Source organism: Homo sapiens, chromosome 9 (genome assembly GCF_000001405.40).
Source record: "Homo sapiens chromosome 9, GRCh38.p14 Primary Assembly".
Taxonomy (NCBI): domain Eukaryota; kingdom Metazoa; phylum Chordata; class Mammalia; order Primates; family Hominidae; genus Homo; species Homo sapiens.
The window spans coordinates 26,629,041-26,644,678 of NC_000009.12; the positions used below are offsets into that span (position 1 = coordinate 26,629,041).

At 42.1% G+C, this 15,638-nt stretch overlaps 1 long non-coding RNA gene across 1 annotated transcript, besides 1 other annotated feature; it reads right to left on the minus strand.

Moving 5' to 3' along the window:
- Positions 1-1,059: 1,059 nt before the first annotated feature.
- On the minus strand, positions 1,060-15,193 carry LOC124902133 (uncharacterized). Its single transcript, XR_007061439.1, has 2 exons — positions 15,133-15,193; positions 1,060-2,073 (listed from the first exon to the last, which is right to left on the minus strand). It is a non-coding gene; the product is annotated as an uncharacterized LOC124902133 (long non-coding RNA).
- Positions 7,938-8,569: an enhancer, noted in NCBI's record as "OCT4-NANOG hESC enhancer chr9:26636976-26637607 (GRCh37/hg19 assembly coordinates)". NCBI's record gives its function as "activates a minimal SCP1, AML or CMV promoter by ChIP-STARR-seq in naive and primed H9 embryonic stem cells {active_cell/tissue: H9 hESC(naive and primed)}" and the evidence as "EXISTENCE:reporter gene assay evidence [ECO:0000049][PMID:30033119]".
- Positions 15,194-15,638: the final 445 nt, after the last annotated feature.

The window sequence follows — 15,638 nt, forward strand, 5'->3', positions numbered from 1 at the left end:
AAATATCTTTAAAGAAAGAACAAGAGTTGAGAAGGATATACACACAGATGTTAACAGTGACCGACTCCTTTAGTATTTTTTGCTCATCTCCGCTTTCTCAGCCTTCCATAATAATAATGTTTTACTCTTATATTTAAAAGCAATGGCCTTAAATTTAAGAAAGTAAAAAGAAATTTCTTACCCCAATTTAAAGAAACAGATCTGAATATACCGAGCACAAAGAATAGAGTTTCATGAATCATGAAACAGAGTTTCCTGGTTGTACCTAGGGCAACCCAGAAAGAGTGCACAGGGTGAGATGAGAGCTGTAATAGGTCTGTGAGCAACTTCGAAGGGATTAAGCAGGAACAAGGACCTAAGAGAAAGTCTGGATGAAAGTAATGTCCCAGCAGCCAATGTTCCTGAAAATTTTAATGTTCTGGCTGCTAATTTCTTGATCGTAGGACAATTTCTCACTTGTATTTGAACTCCACCTCACTGGCACTCTCCATCTCCTAGCCAGAACCTACAGGGTGGTAGCTAAACAAATGCTTATAAATAAATGTGATCCTATTTCCCTTTTAGCCTCCATCATCTGGACTTCTGTGGAATATGCTGTCTGTGGCATTTTCTCTTAGAATATAATTAGAAAGGGTTTGCAGAACTCATAAAATGGCAAGTAAAACTCCTCTCTCCTTGGGAGATTCATTCTCCCTGGGAGAGACCATTTAATAAAGCACAAGAGAAATCTCCATCTCACTGATTTGAGACTGTGGCTGCTTAGACACAAGAGCAGCAACATGGAGGACCAAAAACAGAGTTTTAAGAGGGAAGTATCTACTTCTAGCCTTATTAAAAAAAATACCTTTCTCACAAGTGGCCATAAACAGATAAGTGCCATGTGTCTGATCATCAATATTGACAACCCTTTAATGTCCCCCTGAAATTGATCCCAGGTGCAGCAGATTATACAGGACTATAAAAATTTTATTCAAGTATGAAAACTGCATAAATATGTCATCCACTTATAAACAAGGCCGGAAGAGAACATGAAAAAAATGAAAGATTTCTGAACTTGGATTTATATCTTTTCACTTATAAAATATTTTTATTGTTATAATATTGGTATAATAAATATTTAAAAAACAAAAACAAAGTAATTGAAGGAATATTTGCAGAAGAGGGAAGTAACTGCATCTTGGCGAATCTGAGCATCTAGGAGACAGGAATGAATGGGAAGAGCATCAGAACTACGACATGAAGAACATGGCTCCAGAGACCTGAGGGAAGGTGGAGAGAGGAAATTAAAGACCTTTCTTTCCTAAAGCCAAAAAGTTATTCCTGTTTGTATTCAGCAATCACTCAGAACATTAAAGTGTTCTCCGTGGAAGATTTCCCATTGGTAAGAGAGAATTTCCACCATCCCCCAAGAACATAGAAAAAGAAGTTTGTTCAGCTGGAGACGCAGAATTCTCAGTCCTGCCAATAGGACAGAGAATCTTACACAAGCCCTGGTGAACTTCAGAATGGAATGAGCTTTGATAATTCCCCCTTCACTTATTCCTGTAGAGATTGCTAAAACTTGTATGGCAAGTGAAAATCATCCCAGTTGGAGGTAGGTCATTATCAACTAATTGTTCAAAATTCAAGAACACACAAGCTACAGGGACAAGTGGTGCCTCACATGAGGAGACTTCCCAGAAGCCATTCATGTCACTGCCCAAAGAAATTTGCTAAGAAAAAGAGTCTCAGAAGAAATGATGCTGTGGAATAAGCTGAGGTGAAATACGCTCAAAAAGAGGTGGTTTCAATACCTTTGGACAAGAGGGCTGCATCAGGCTTTCCAAGAAAAGGGTGAATTGAGATCTTAGCATTCATAGTGGGGCTATTACGTCCTTCAGAAAGACTCCAACAGTGCCTGAGGATTTATAGAACCTGCAAAGCAGCCAGCTCCTGTTCCTTGAGGGTTTCTCTTCCTACACTGAACAAGTCAGGGACTTGTGCCGGCTATTCATGGCTAGCGCAGTCCTTTCACCTAAGTAGAGACAAAGGTGCTGTTGCTGATTCCTTAGAGTCAGTCACTGCAGGAGCCACCTGGGAAGCAAAAAGAGAAATAAATAATAATATATGTCCAGTCCTTTATTTTTCAAAGGACAGAACCAAGATCCAGTGATAGGAAAAGTTGAGAACAAGGGAGTAGAGAGCCCAAGAAGTGGTTTTGCTTTGACTGTGAATACACATCAGGGAATTCTAGCCAGTGATGGCAGCTGCCATTGTGAATCCCACTGGCAGGCTCTGGCAGCTCCATGTTTCCTGATCAAAACAGGTTTTTGTAGGGAATAAATATAGAGGAAATTTGGATATGGGTCCCTGGTCTTAAGAGCACATGGAATAAATATTCCCTTGGAAAAAAGGACTTCACTGAAGGCTCTAGTCTGTGCATAGATGCCTGGGAGGATCACAGGGTAAATGCAAGTAAGTGAAGATGAGCAAGGGAAAGAATGAGACTATGATAGATAATAAGGAACCCAAGGATACAGGGACAGTAGCTATTAAAAATGAGGGCTGGAGCATCCCCAAGAAGCAGTGAAGATTGTCTGAGTTAAAATAAAACAAGTGGTCTACAGTTAATTCCCTTGGGGAAGGGAAGAGTAAGGGAGAGGAAGAGGAGGAGGAGTTGAGGCCTCCTCCTCCTCAGAATTATGCAAATTGAAAGATAATTGTTGCAGCCTGCTTTGGCGTTAGCGGTAGTGGGACAATAGTAATACCAGGCTTGACTAGGAGAGTGTTCCAGGATTTTGGGGCAGAGACTCCCACAATTGAAGGCTGGAGACAGGGAATGGAGGAGAATGTCCATCTCCCCAACAGTCTCTAAAATTCTAAGTCATGAGGAGGATCACCTGAAGTAAAGTCTACAAGTGAAACGCCCTCCATAGTACCTAGTACATAATAGACACTTGAGAAATATGAAGACTTTGTAAAGTACAAAGACAACCTATTCCCTTCCTCAAAAACGTAGAGAGAAGAAGGGGATAGTTAGATACTCTAGGAGGTCAGAATATACACAGAATTCAATTCCACAAGAGAAGGGACATTCATTTTTCTAACTGTTACTGCTCTCAAGTTATGGCCTCTGCAAAGCCATTCTACTTATATGCCAAGAAGAAAAAAAAAAAATCATACATCATAGGTCAGTTGATTCCAGGTGATGACAGGTAGTATGGCCTAAAGTTTATTGAGTCCCTTTATGAGGAGACTACCATAGATTTTCCTTTCCGGAAAGAAGAAGGTGCCACCACAAACTTCTTTAAAAGCAGTGAGTCCCACAAGGAAGAAGAAGATATCAAAGTAAGAGCATCACTGTGAAAACACTGCCCTGACCCTGGCTGTCCACAGAATCCAGGACCCCTGACTGGGGGAACACCTTGGACAGTCCCCTCCTACTGCTTGCTTGATTGCCCCTAGTGGTCTTCCATGCTGAAGGCACTTATGGTGCCCTTTCAGTACCTGCTCAAAGCGGGCTTTGCCTGCTCTGTAACCCACTTCATCAAATCACAGATGAGATGGACCAGAAAGAATGACTCAAGATCAAGACCAAAACATGAGCAGGAGGGCAGTGGTCACTGCCATAGAGAGATCACTGTGAGTTTTTTGTTTTGTTTTCTTTTTTGCCTTGGTATGAGCCTCCTAGTGTATTTCAGAAGCTGGAGGTGACTCTGTCATAGGATCAGGACCACCCTTGTTCTTGGTATCCAAGAATCCACTCATTGGTGAGGGCTCCTCTTTCTGGTTCTGGTTCCAAGGGATTCTTTCCTCATCTTTTTTATCCTATGAAATTCAGGCTGTCCTTTATGATTTGTGTGATATACACATTATCCTGAAGTGAAGACATTTCATAAATTGGTCCATATCACTCTTTTGCCTCCATCAAGAGAGCAAATAGGATGTTGTTACCAGCAAAAGGGAAAATGAGAAGAAGCCCTGAAGTTTGGCATTTGGAGTGATGTCCTTTGGTCTCAAACATAAGGCCTAGCAGCTCTAGGAAGTCAGTCTCAGACGTAACCTTCCTATTTTACATAAAGATATCAGGATTACCTCACACAAGGTAATAAAGAAGTAATAGACAATAAACCTGGGCATCCCAACAGGTGACAAGAATAAGTCCTTATGCATTCAGAATCAGGGAAGAATCCCACACCAAAAATGTCAACAGGACTCACAATAGCATATCTATTTGCTCCTCTCCTAATAGGCTACATGCCAAATTTTACATGTAAGGTAAAAAAGCATGCTGGTAATATTTATTAATGTCAACCTTAAAGGGAAAAGAAATTTTAAGACAATAGCTCAAGAAGATCTGAGACTTGCTGAGCGACTGCCCTGTATACTTTTCTTGTAGGATACTAAATATTTTAGGCTGTCTTTATTTATGTAAGTTCACTGCTTCATTATTATTATTATTATTATTATTTTTTTTTTTTTTTTTTTTTTTTTTTGAGACGGAGTCTCACTCTTTCACCCAAGCTGGACTGCAGTGGCGCTATCCCGGCTCAGTGCAAGCTCCGCCTCTTGGGTTCATGCCATTCTCCTGCCTCAGCCTCCCGAGTAGCTGGGATTACAGGCGCCCACCACCACGCCCGGCTAATTTTTTGTATTTTTAGTAGAGACGGGGTTTCACCGTGTTAGCCAGGATGGTCTCGATCTCCTGACCTCGTGATCCGCCCGCCTCGGCCTCCCAAAGTGCTGGGATTACAGGCGTGAGCCACCGCGCCCGGCCTGCTTCATTATTAACACCCGCTGAATGGACCTGGCTCCTTCTTCCCAATTGGCTGCCTCCTTGAGATTCCACCTAGCAATCTGCATCTTTCAATAGCAAAAAAAAAAAAAAAAAAAAAAATCTGGGACTATAGACCTGAAACAGTGGTCCAATTTACAGAGACCAAAAAGGAAATAGGAGATGTTTGTCTTAGGGACAGTGACTGCAGACAGAGTCACTGGGCACAGTGAAGATGTGTCCCTCACATTTCTAAGGGATTCGTACTGTCTATTAGCAGTAGCAGGAAACTGACAAGAAGACACATGTATTAGTCCATTTTCATGCTGCTGAAAATGATATACCCAAGACTGGTAATTTATAAAGAAAAAAAGGTTTAATGGACTCACAGTTCCACGTGGCTGGGGAGGCCTCACAATCATGGCAGAAGGCAAGTGAAGAACAAAAGCATGTCTTACATGGCAGCAAGTAAAGAAACAATGAGAGCCAAGTGAAAGTGGTTTCCCCTTATAAAACCATCAGATCTCGTGAGACTTATTCACTACCATGAGAACAGTATGGGGAAAACCACCCCCATGATTCAATTATCTCCCACCGGGTCCCTCCCACAACATTTGGGAATTAAGGAAGTTACAATTCAAGGTGAGATTTGGGTGGGGACACAGACAAACCATATCAATACATATCCACAGCCACAAGAAAAAAAGAGGATGTCCGAGCATTAAGAGCAGCAGAAAGAGGGGGAGAAAACTAAGCAAAGGAGGTAAGAGGAGCAAAGAAGAAGTCAAGGATCATATCAAGAAGAAAACAGGAGAGGAGCAGTCAAGAAGCCAATGCAGAATTTCTAGGGGGAGGTCTAAGCTGGACCACAGCAGCCTCCGAGAGGCAATGTTGAAGGTCACAGGGCTGCAAGGAGAGGAACAGGAGATTAACATTTATACAACACCATGTGGCTCATCACCTTGGTTGAAGGCAGTCTCCAGAAAGAAGGTGCCAGAGGTGATCTTCCTCAGCTCCAACCCCGACTCCCTGATGCGGCTGCAGTCCACCAGGGTAAAGGCCTGTCCAATTAGATTCAACCCAGAGATCTTGAAGGAATACCTATCTAGGAGTGGTTTCTAGAACCCCAAGTATTCAACATGCCTCAGGAGATATTCTATTGAAGCGCAAATTGTGGGAAATGTATTGCAGACAATAAGCTGAAATGTGAAATCTCCAGATTTGTCTAAATGATAAGATCCTTTCTAGATGGAGAGAGGATAGAAGCAAAGAAAAGAAAGGGGAAAACAAAAAGAAGAGAGATGCAATTCTCTAGCAGTTGCATGGGCTCCTTGTAAGAGCAAGACATGCCAGGACAGCTCAAATCCAACTGGAGCCTCCTGTCTTCTCCAGGGTTACATGACAGAGTATTTAGCCAATGCTTGCCAGTCCGGAAAGGAAAAAAAGAATCTGAAGACCTCTTCAGGATGAAGAAAGTGAGATTCAAGGCTTCTGTTTATATAATAAAAAATTTCCTCCATGATAGAAAACCAAATGGTAGGGAATGGATGAATGATAATGCTTCCTTCCCAAACTTAAGACTTGGCATGGCTGAAGAAAAGAAGTGAACTGCTCCATAAAATTTGAGCAGAGCAGAGGAGAGAGAGCACAATTCCCGAAGAAGATATAGTCCCTTGTGGAAGATCCCTTCTCAACTGACTCTCAGGGCTGAGGTCATTAACCTAGAAGGCACATATTGGAGCAGATGAAGGCCTCCTGACAAGAAGGAGCCTTGGGGAAAAGGGAATTATACTTGCACCCTTTTTTAGAGAATACTCCTGAGTGTGTGGTCTCCAGAAACCCACGTATTTAGCAGATATCATTATTTCTGTGGATACTGGGCCAAAATGTAAACTTGAATTCAACTGTAGAGACTAGTTTCCCAGGTGTGCCTGCAATGTTAGGGGTGAGATGAAGCACCAATGGGGACTTTCACTCAGCAGGGTTGGTCTAGGAAATACACAAATTTCTCACAACCTTCTTCCCCTGTGATATCTAAACCAGGAGTGCCAATGCCATCACCTATAAGACGAGAAAGTGGACAGAAATGTCTAACTTTGACCCACAGGAAAGTTTGCTCCCTGTTAACAAACAATTGAAGAGGGAAGAATTAGGAGCCGGTCTCTTGACATGACAAGCTGACATGACAAGCTCCCAAGATAGCAAGGGAGGTCCAGAGATTCCATATTGAATACAAGGTCCAAGTTAAGAGTCTTGACATATGCCTAGAATTGGCCCTATAAAACTGAGCCCTCACCCACTTTAGACATTTCTTTTTCATTCTTGGCCTTCACGACTACTAAAGTGTCTTCTCCCTGAGGGGTTGCTGCATTCTTTTTCCTCCCAGGCCAGGTGACAATCATAGACTCAATAAGAAATTCCATAGCCAAGCCCTTTTACTCTTCTGTCTCTGTCTTTAAATGATCTACTTCCTCTAAGAACCTTAGGTAGTACCACAACTGGGACAGGTGCAGTGACCAGCTAACACAGAATCCGTGTAGCACCTGTCCTGGAACCCTGTCCAGCCCTATCCCGAGATTCAGGCTTCTATAGCAGTCAAGCTCATGATTCAGCCTCCCTTGGGTGTCTGGTTATGTGGCCCCTTCCACATTCTTTTGGCCCTGAGAAGCTCTCATAATGGAAAAGGATTTGTTTTGACAATGGCAAGAAGTTACAAGCAAGTAGCTTTTAGTTCAATATTTGAGGAGGGAATTTGTTAGGACTGGAGCTCTTCAACAAAAGACTGAACAGCCACAGAAAGAGGGTCATGGAAAAGGACTTGAGCAAGATGGCAAACCACCATCATGGAAACCAAGAGGGGATTTTTGCCTTAGGTCGTTTGCTTCTAACTCCAAAATCTGAATTGCTAAGCCCCTATGGAGCATGGACTATGTCTTATCCATCAGCTCCCAGTGAAATTCCTAAAAAGTTTTCATTAATCATCTGTTTATGATTGCACATCCAGTGAGCAGACCATTGGAAGTTGCTCAAAACAGGAATGTTTTACTTGAAAGGGCCCAGCCATCTCTTGCCTAAGCCTCATCTGTGGACAGAAGCAGTTTTCAGTGAAAAGCCTGCCAGGAAGCTTCTGATTCTAAAGGGATTTCACCCACAAGTCCAAAGGCTCCACATTGCAGGAAAAAAAGGAGGGCAGGGAGTGTATTTTCAGGGCAACTCAAATCTATGCTCCCAGGAAATAATAATAAATAAAAATAATAATAGATGTTTTAAAAGGAGGGCAAATCCATTATAACAGCAAACTGACATTTGGAAAAAGTGGGAGTGGGGAGTTGAGGTGAGGGACCTATTATGCATGGAGTGACAGTCTCTGGAAAAGGGCTCTGACCCACCAACATCCTTATTTCCCTCTATTCCCAATGAATGACATTGCCCCACCTATTACAAGGCCTGTTCTTCATGAGCGATCAAGCTTCTAGAGCAAGGGGCCCTGGGCTTAACCATATTAACATTTGAATGGCTTAAATGAGTCCCTTTCCAGGGAGCGTGCATTGTAATGGGGAAGCGAGGGTCATGGCTCATCCACAAAGGAAGAGAGTAGAGAAAAGGAAGTCTGGGTGCTTAGAAGACATATTTCTCCTCCATTTTATGTAGACAAGAATCAAAATGTCACACAATTTGTTTTTTTCGTCTATTTTTAACTCATATATTGACACAAAATTACCAAATACCATAAATAATTATCATCCCAATAAAGATATATCTAATCAACCTATTTTTGCAATATGTTAGTATTACATTTTAAAAATGTTTATTCACACACTAGGGCCCTAACTCAGACACCTACAGGGTGTCCTAACACTCAATACATCAGATCTAAAGTTCTTTAACTTTGTTTCCTCTCCATTCCCCTTGCTCTCCTTGATCTCTCCTGTCTCCTTACCTGCATATTTTTATCTTGCTGCAGAAACAGAATAAATGTCCTCCTTTCCTTTTCCTTGCTAGTCAAACTCTTTACTTCATCCAGTCCAGTTGAGACCCTTTCCTCTCCCCAGACCAACTCAAACTATCCCAAGTCAAAGGTCAATCATCCCTCCTCTGATTTCCCCAAATACTTCATTGATACCACTAAATTCAGCACCCATTTTTGAGTGCTTCTATCCTTTCCTCAGTTCAGAGGAAGCTCACCCATGGCAAGGAGCTGGTTTAGGATGAAAATGGATGTACTCAGTCTTTCCTCATCCTGCTTATGTTGTGCTCTGAATCTACTCAAATGCTCTGGCAGAAAATGAACACACAGTTCCACTTTATTATGAAGTATGGAAAAGATGACCCTTCCTTGAAGGCATTGAGACAGTTGATACCCAGGTGCCCCTCCTCAGTAGCAGAGATGCCAAATATCTGCAATACAGATTCCATTTTGAACATGGCTAAATCACAGTGGCTCCCCCAGGATAATCTCACCCCAAAAATGGGCATGTGAAACCAAATAAAATCAAGATGGTGAAGTCACCAAAGTGATAAAGTCACTGGATATATTCCATCTGGTCATGGAGATAAACATACTCAAAACAAAGGTTGGCTTTTAGCCCCATGCATTCTTAGGAACCATTCTTCCTTAACACAAACTTGCGCCTGTAATGTTTCATTTAATAAGCTTTTCAGAGGGTACTTGGGGTAGGGAGGGTTTGGAGCATGCTTTATTACCCAGCATCCATTTCTTAGACCATGGGTTTCCAAAACTGTGCTAGGAGGACCTAGAATCAAGTTAGTCCACATTTAACTGTATTGTTGGTCTCCTGCCAACAACAAAAATAAAACCACTCCAATCTCATTCATAGGGAAAAGTCTGCTGAAATTTCTAACCTAGAATGTCAACCAAAGGACATTGCTGTCCAGCCTTCTGTGAGGTTATTTTTAACAGTGAAATGTCTCCAAAATGATGCCACTCTGCCTCTATCCAAACTTTAAGCCTGTCCCAAAACAGATCTACACGCTACCTTTGCTATATTGCCAATTGGCCTGTGGGCAAAAGTCTGTCTTGGACCCCACAACTGGGAAGCTCTAAGCTCTGTGATTTTACTACCCCTCTAAATGGCAGATATAGCCATTTTTCATCTGACCTGAATTCAATAATGTTTTGCTTTGAATTTTTTAAAATAAATTATTAAAATGCTCTCAAACTTACGTACCAGAAAAATGATCATATGCACATCTAGATTTTAAAAGGGTGATTTCTGCCTGAAGTAGTCTGCACAGCAGTAAAGCTGCATGGGTCCACTGGTAGGTAAGTTAGCAACAGTGGACCAATTAATTAACCTTCCTCTGCAGCGTAGCCACCATTAACGCCAACATAGCAGTAGTGATTTTGCATCTTAGAGATCACCCTGAAAGCATAAAGGAGAAGATCTACTTCTAGAGGGCCTAAAAAGCAATTCTTCCATCAACCAAGAAAAATGCACTCCACATTTGCAGTTATACCATGATGTAAATGACAGGAAATAAAGCACATACTGGAAATGTGTAGCTTCAGACACCCTAATCAGCTATTCTGTCAATACAGTAAAGGGCAGAAAATCCCAATTCCAGATTTTGAATTTAGCAAAAAGGCTAAAGAGGAGAGACACATTCATACCAACCCTCCCATACAGACGCATTGATCCTTCCTGTGGGCATATTCACGAAAATGCACATCCTCTAGCTATGTATTTTGTCAATATCAGCAGTAGTTTTAAATTACCTCCTAGATGTATTCAAAATGCACCTCTTTGCCCCAGACATAAAAGCGAGTGAATAAAATACAAATACAGCAATTAAATTCCATCCCTACCGCAACTCTGTTTAAAATGCACGTGAAGAAAATTAGAAAAAATGTTCACTAGGGAAAAGCAATCCCAAAAGGTCAGCTGCAAGGTAATATTCATATAGCTGTTATTTAACAAAAGTTTAAGGTTAGGGAGAGTATCCAAATGTTGTATTAAAGTAAATCAATCCCTCTTTTTCTTTCCACCTATAAATGAAGTACAGTAAATATGAAAAATGTTCTCCCTAAAATGGAATAGCAAGTTTAAATTGCTCTGTGCCAAATGTTTATAGACACATAGCATGTAATAACCAAATGGGATCACTCTGCTTGTCTCTTCATCAGACACTATACTGTATTATCCTTTTAAATTCCTGTTTTTCTACTGCTAAGTTTTATCCAGTCATAATGGCCATCATTTTTATTCTGACACCTCTTATAAAAACACCATATCTGCCTTGAGTTCACTAGGAGACCAAGAATGACGTCCAGAAAATTATGACATGGGAAAGGTAGACTAGCTAAACATGATATATGTTTGTTTCTCTCCAAATCACTGAAGAATAAAAGGGCTGAACCTATTCCTTTTCCCCTTGTTCTTTCTCCTTGCTCCATTTATTAACATGCTTTTCAGAAAATACTAAAAAGGGAGATGCCTTTCTCCCTCTGTCCTCTTTCTCTCTCCCTCCCTCTCTGTCTCATACAGACACACACAAAGTGCACAAAATATGAACCATGCCCCAGAATATGCAGCCTCCACAAAGAGGCACACAGCTTCATACACAAGCTTATGCTGCCTCCAAAAACTGAGATTCCCCCCCTAAACTTAGGATCAGTCACTGAAAAAATATATTTTTTTTTTTTTTTTTTGAGACGGAGTCTTGCTCTGTCACCCAGGCTGGAGTGCAGTGGCGCAATCTCGGCTCCCTGCAAGCTCCGCCTCCCGGATTCACGCCATTCTCCTGCCTCAGCCTCCCGAGTAGCTAGGACAACAGGCGCCCGCCACCACGCCCGGCTAATTTTTTATATTTTTACTAGAGACAGGTTTCACAGTGTTAGCCAGGATGGTCTCGATCTCCTGACCTCGTGATCCACCCGCCTCGGCCTCCCAAAGTGCTGGGATTACAGGCGTGAGCCACCGCGTCCGGCCATGAAAAAACATTATTTCTTTATGAACCAGAGCCGAGAATAAAATCAACTTGAAAACAGTACAGAGAGGCTTCCAAATCAGAACATGGTGGAGACACTAGAGAGGGGGAAGAGAAGAACAGCAAATATGCTGTTACTCAGAAAAAGGACTCAGTCTGCAGCAGGGTGGGCCTGATAGGGAAGGCTAGGGTGTGGGGGGCCAGACTGGGCATAGGAGGAAAACACAATACAAGAAGTCCCCCAGCTGTAGGCAATGGGCAGAAACATAGCCAAGTTAATGAATACGGGAGAGGCCCAGTGGTCAGCCGCAGGTGAGGGAGTCAGCACAGGGGCAGAGGACTGCATCATGGGAAATGGGCAGCCTGGCCAAGCATCTGGCAGCAGAGCGGCCAAGCAGCAAGGGCTAGACTGAAGCTTAGGGTCAGGGTCCCCATATCCCAGGAGTGTGAGAAGATCCTGGCAGATCTTGTGCTAACAGGAAACATGAAGTGTACACAAAGACAGCAGAACAAGACAGTGACCTGTTAGGAGGCCGCGGATACAAGGCATAGGTAATGGGAAGAACACGACGGCCACTTGATTTTAGCAGCTGACTTGAGGCTGAACTATTAACCCCCATACTCCCCCAAAAACTCAGTAGTCCTAGGCTCAGTTCTCAAGGCAGAAGGGCAGTGAAGGGGTTACTTAAATAATAACTGCATAATAGCACTGTCCACTAAAAAAAAATGCCTAGAACATAATAACTGCTAGAATAATCGCTCGCATTCATCCTTATCCACCTTTCTAATCTTTATATGAAACAAATATTACTGATACTGTGCTGGACATTCAACCCTGACCAAGACACCAATCCTATTCTGAAGATGTGGACGGCCTGATGTGGGGAGGAGGGGCATTCCTGTTTTTGTTGTGTCTCTGATGTTGCCTTTATAACTCCAGCCCCATAACTGCCCCCACTGCTTCGGAGATGAGAATGTTTAGACCTGTTGGTACTTTAGGAAGGAGGAAAGGAATCTCTTATGTCAGACCCTAACCTCAGCTCCTTCCCTTGAATATTACCTTTTAGAGGCTAAGTGAGGGACAGCTAACCCCAAAGCTAAGGCTGCCATCACCTGGTCACAGCCACCACTGTTTGGGACCTGTCCATACTGTGTCAGGAAGAAGCATGTCCTAACTGGTCTGGGTAGAAGCTGGGCACAGGCTGTCAAGTATCAATTATGCACAAAGTGGTTTTCACTCCAGAACACAGTAAACACAAAACAGACCAGAACTGGGTCAAAAATGTAGACTAAACCATGTGATCATCATATGGAGAGAACTTCACAGAGGGTAGCCCAGAGGCAAGAGTTCAAAAGGATCAGCTTCTTTAAAAAGACAAAGCCATGTGGAGTGTTTAGCCAAGATCTTTGCAGTTGGCCTCTCTCTCCAGGTGAAACCTCCTACCCCTAGAAATTCTAAACCAACTGCAGTAAAATCCCTTAGAGAAAGAGCCCTTCTCAGCAAAGACTCACCTCCACTGTCAATATCTAAGTAGGTAAACCATGATCTCTAGGCATATCAGTTACCTGGGTGTTTTAGCAGCTTATAAGCCCGTCCTCTCTAGGAAGGAGACTGAGGTTTAGGGCTGAAAAATACACTTCGCATACATTCTGCTCCCAATTTGGCTGTTGAAATTTCAGAGAAGGACAGTGCTAAACACCTAAACTGTATAGTTACTCACTGGAATCCCAGAGCAGTGATGCTGCAAAATGGAAGAGATAGGGCCCGATGCATGTGACATTCTCCCTGACCCCCACAGATGTTCAAATAAGCAGAAATACAAAATACTGTCGCAATCTACTAAAACTACTTGTCTTCTCAATGTGCACACATATCTGTAGCATAACTTACAAGCTAATCTTTCTTGGTTCTTTATCCGTAAGTTTAAAAAGACAAATTTCAAAGCAAAATGAGATTTTTAATAAATTTACTTTATTTACTGAAATGCAATTTTCTGTTCTTTGCCATTTTTTAACTTGCCTGATACTTTTTAAATGCCTCTATTTAATTTTATGACATTGATTTACAGGTGATAATTATTTGGGGGTTTATGATTCCAAATGTCTCATTTTACTGTTTGCCATCAGCCAGGCCCCTTTCAACAACATGTTTTTGGCTACGAAGTTCATTGGCCAGTAAAAAATGTTCTCTTTGCAATAATATGTTCAAACCCTTCGCCAATTCATCTTATGCTTCTTTTCTAAAGTTGGGGTGAAAATGTTTCTGAAGGTTAAAGTTATCATGAAAACTGAAGCCGTGTTCAGATACAAATCTGGTTCCTGTACTCTAGGATTTGCCATGGGAATCCTCACAAAATCCAGGCTCATTTCAAAATCCTGAGTGTGGGAATGCCACAGTCAAGTGAGCTTTCTTCTCTCTGCTCTTGCCATACAGAAAGAAGACTGTTTCTCTCCAGTCCTTAGCACCTAAATCCATGAAATTACGGGGTTTATTTCCAGGGCACTAGTGAAACCATTACTTTAAAGGAAGATTATTTCCAGAAAGACTACATGAACTATTTCCCCAGATAAGTTAATTTCTTTATCATTTACGCAAAAATTGTTTCATTTCTGTCTCAATGCTTTTGCTGTCTGCCTCCATGATATGGAATGCCCTCCACCCTGGTATCCTGCTGACCAAATCCTATTTCAACCTGCAAGCCCTGCTTAAGGTCCACCTTCAATTCCTTTGGTCTTTATCAGCTCTTCTCTGACATTCAACTGGCAAATTTTCGAATATATTTCTTGCAGCAGGTGATATACCACTTGACATAGCACTAATTGCAGAAAAGTGCTAGAGGTACAATAAGTGAATTTGATTGAGAAAGTCTCCAATTCCTGACAGTGGAGGTAGCAAGGTGCAGCTGAGTTCATGTGGTTTAGGAAAAAAAAAGACCTGCCTATGACAGAGTCTTGCTCTAATGCTTACTAGCTATGCAGGCTTTGGCAGTCACTTTCCCTCCCTGAGCCTCAATTTCCCATTCAAAAACTTCATGGAGTTGTTGCAAGGCTAAAATTGGGTTAGGTGTCAGCCACTTTCCTAAACACTGGAGCTACAAAAGTGAGTATGATAAAGCCCCAGTTTTGAAAAGGCTCATAGTCTGTGGTTATTTGCAGTAGCTTCAGGTTCTCTGAGAGAAACAGTTAAGTGGCATTTGGGAAACAGTAAGCTGGAAACAGTAGGGGAGAAATTGGAGAAGGAGAACGTGCAGTCTGAAGCTACTCCAGAATTGCTGACGTATGCTGAAGACTGGGAAAGGATGACAGCAGTAGAAGTGGAGATGAAGGAAAATTTGAGAGACATTACAAATGGAACAGAATTATAGGCCTTGATTTATTTCATATTTAAGATGATAGCGGAAATCGATAAAGAATCATCTCAAATTTCTCACCTAGGGGACAGGTGCAAGCACTGACAGATATGGAGTAACTGGGAAAAAGAGCTGGTTTGGGTGATGGGAGAGATTATCAGCCTCTACAGAGGCTCCACAAATGCCCATCTCAAAGTCCAACAGCTTCTTCCTTCACAACTCCATTGAGTCCTTTTTCTCTCTTTAATCTTGTCCATCTTGATTTTATCTATAGAAAGTTCAGGGATGAGTTGAATAATCAACTAGTTTTGCTAGACTTCAGCAAACAGGGTGTACCACCAATAAGAAATACACTCTTCTCCCTACCACACAAATCTTATTTATTGCCTCTACTTGAATTTTAAAGGTAAAATGACTTTAGCCTAAAATAGCCCATGTTCCTCTTGACCGTGCCTCCAATATTACAAATATCCAACTGTCCTCTGAAGCTGCCTGGGCAAAGCTAGGCAGCTTGGTCTCTTTCAGTTGGGGAGCGGTGCTTCCACATTCTGAGCCAGTAACTGCCACCCAGGTCCAGCCAGAGTCTG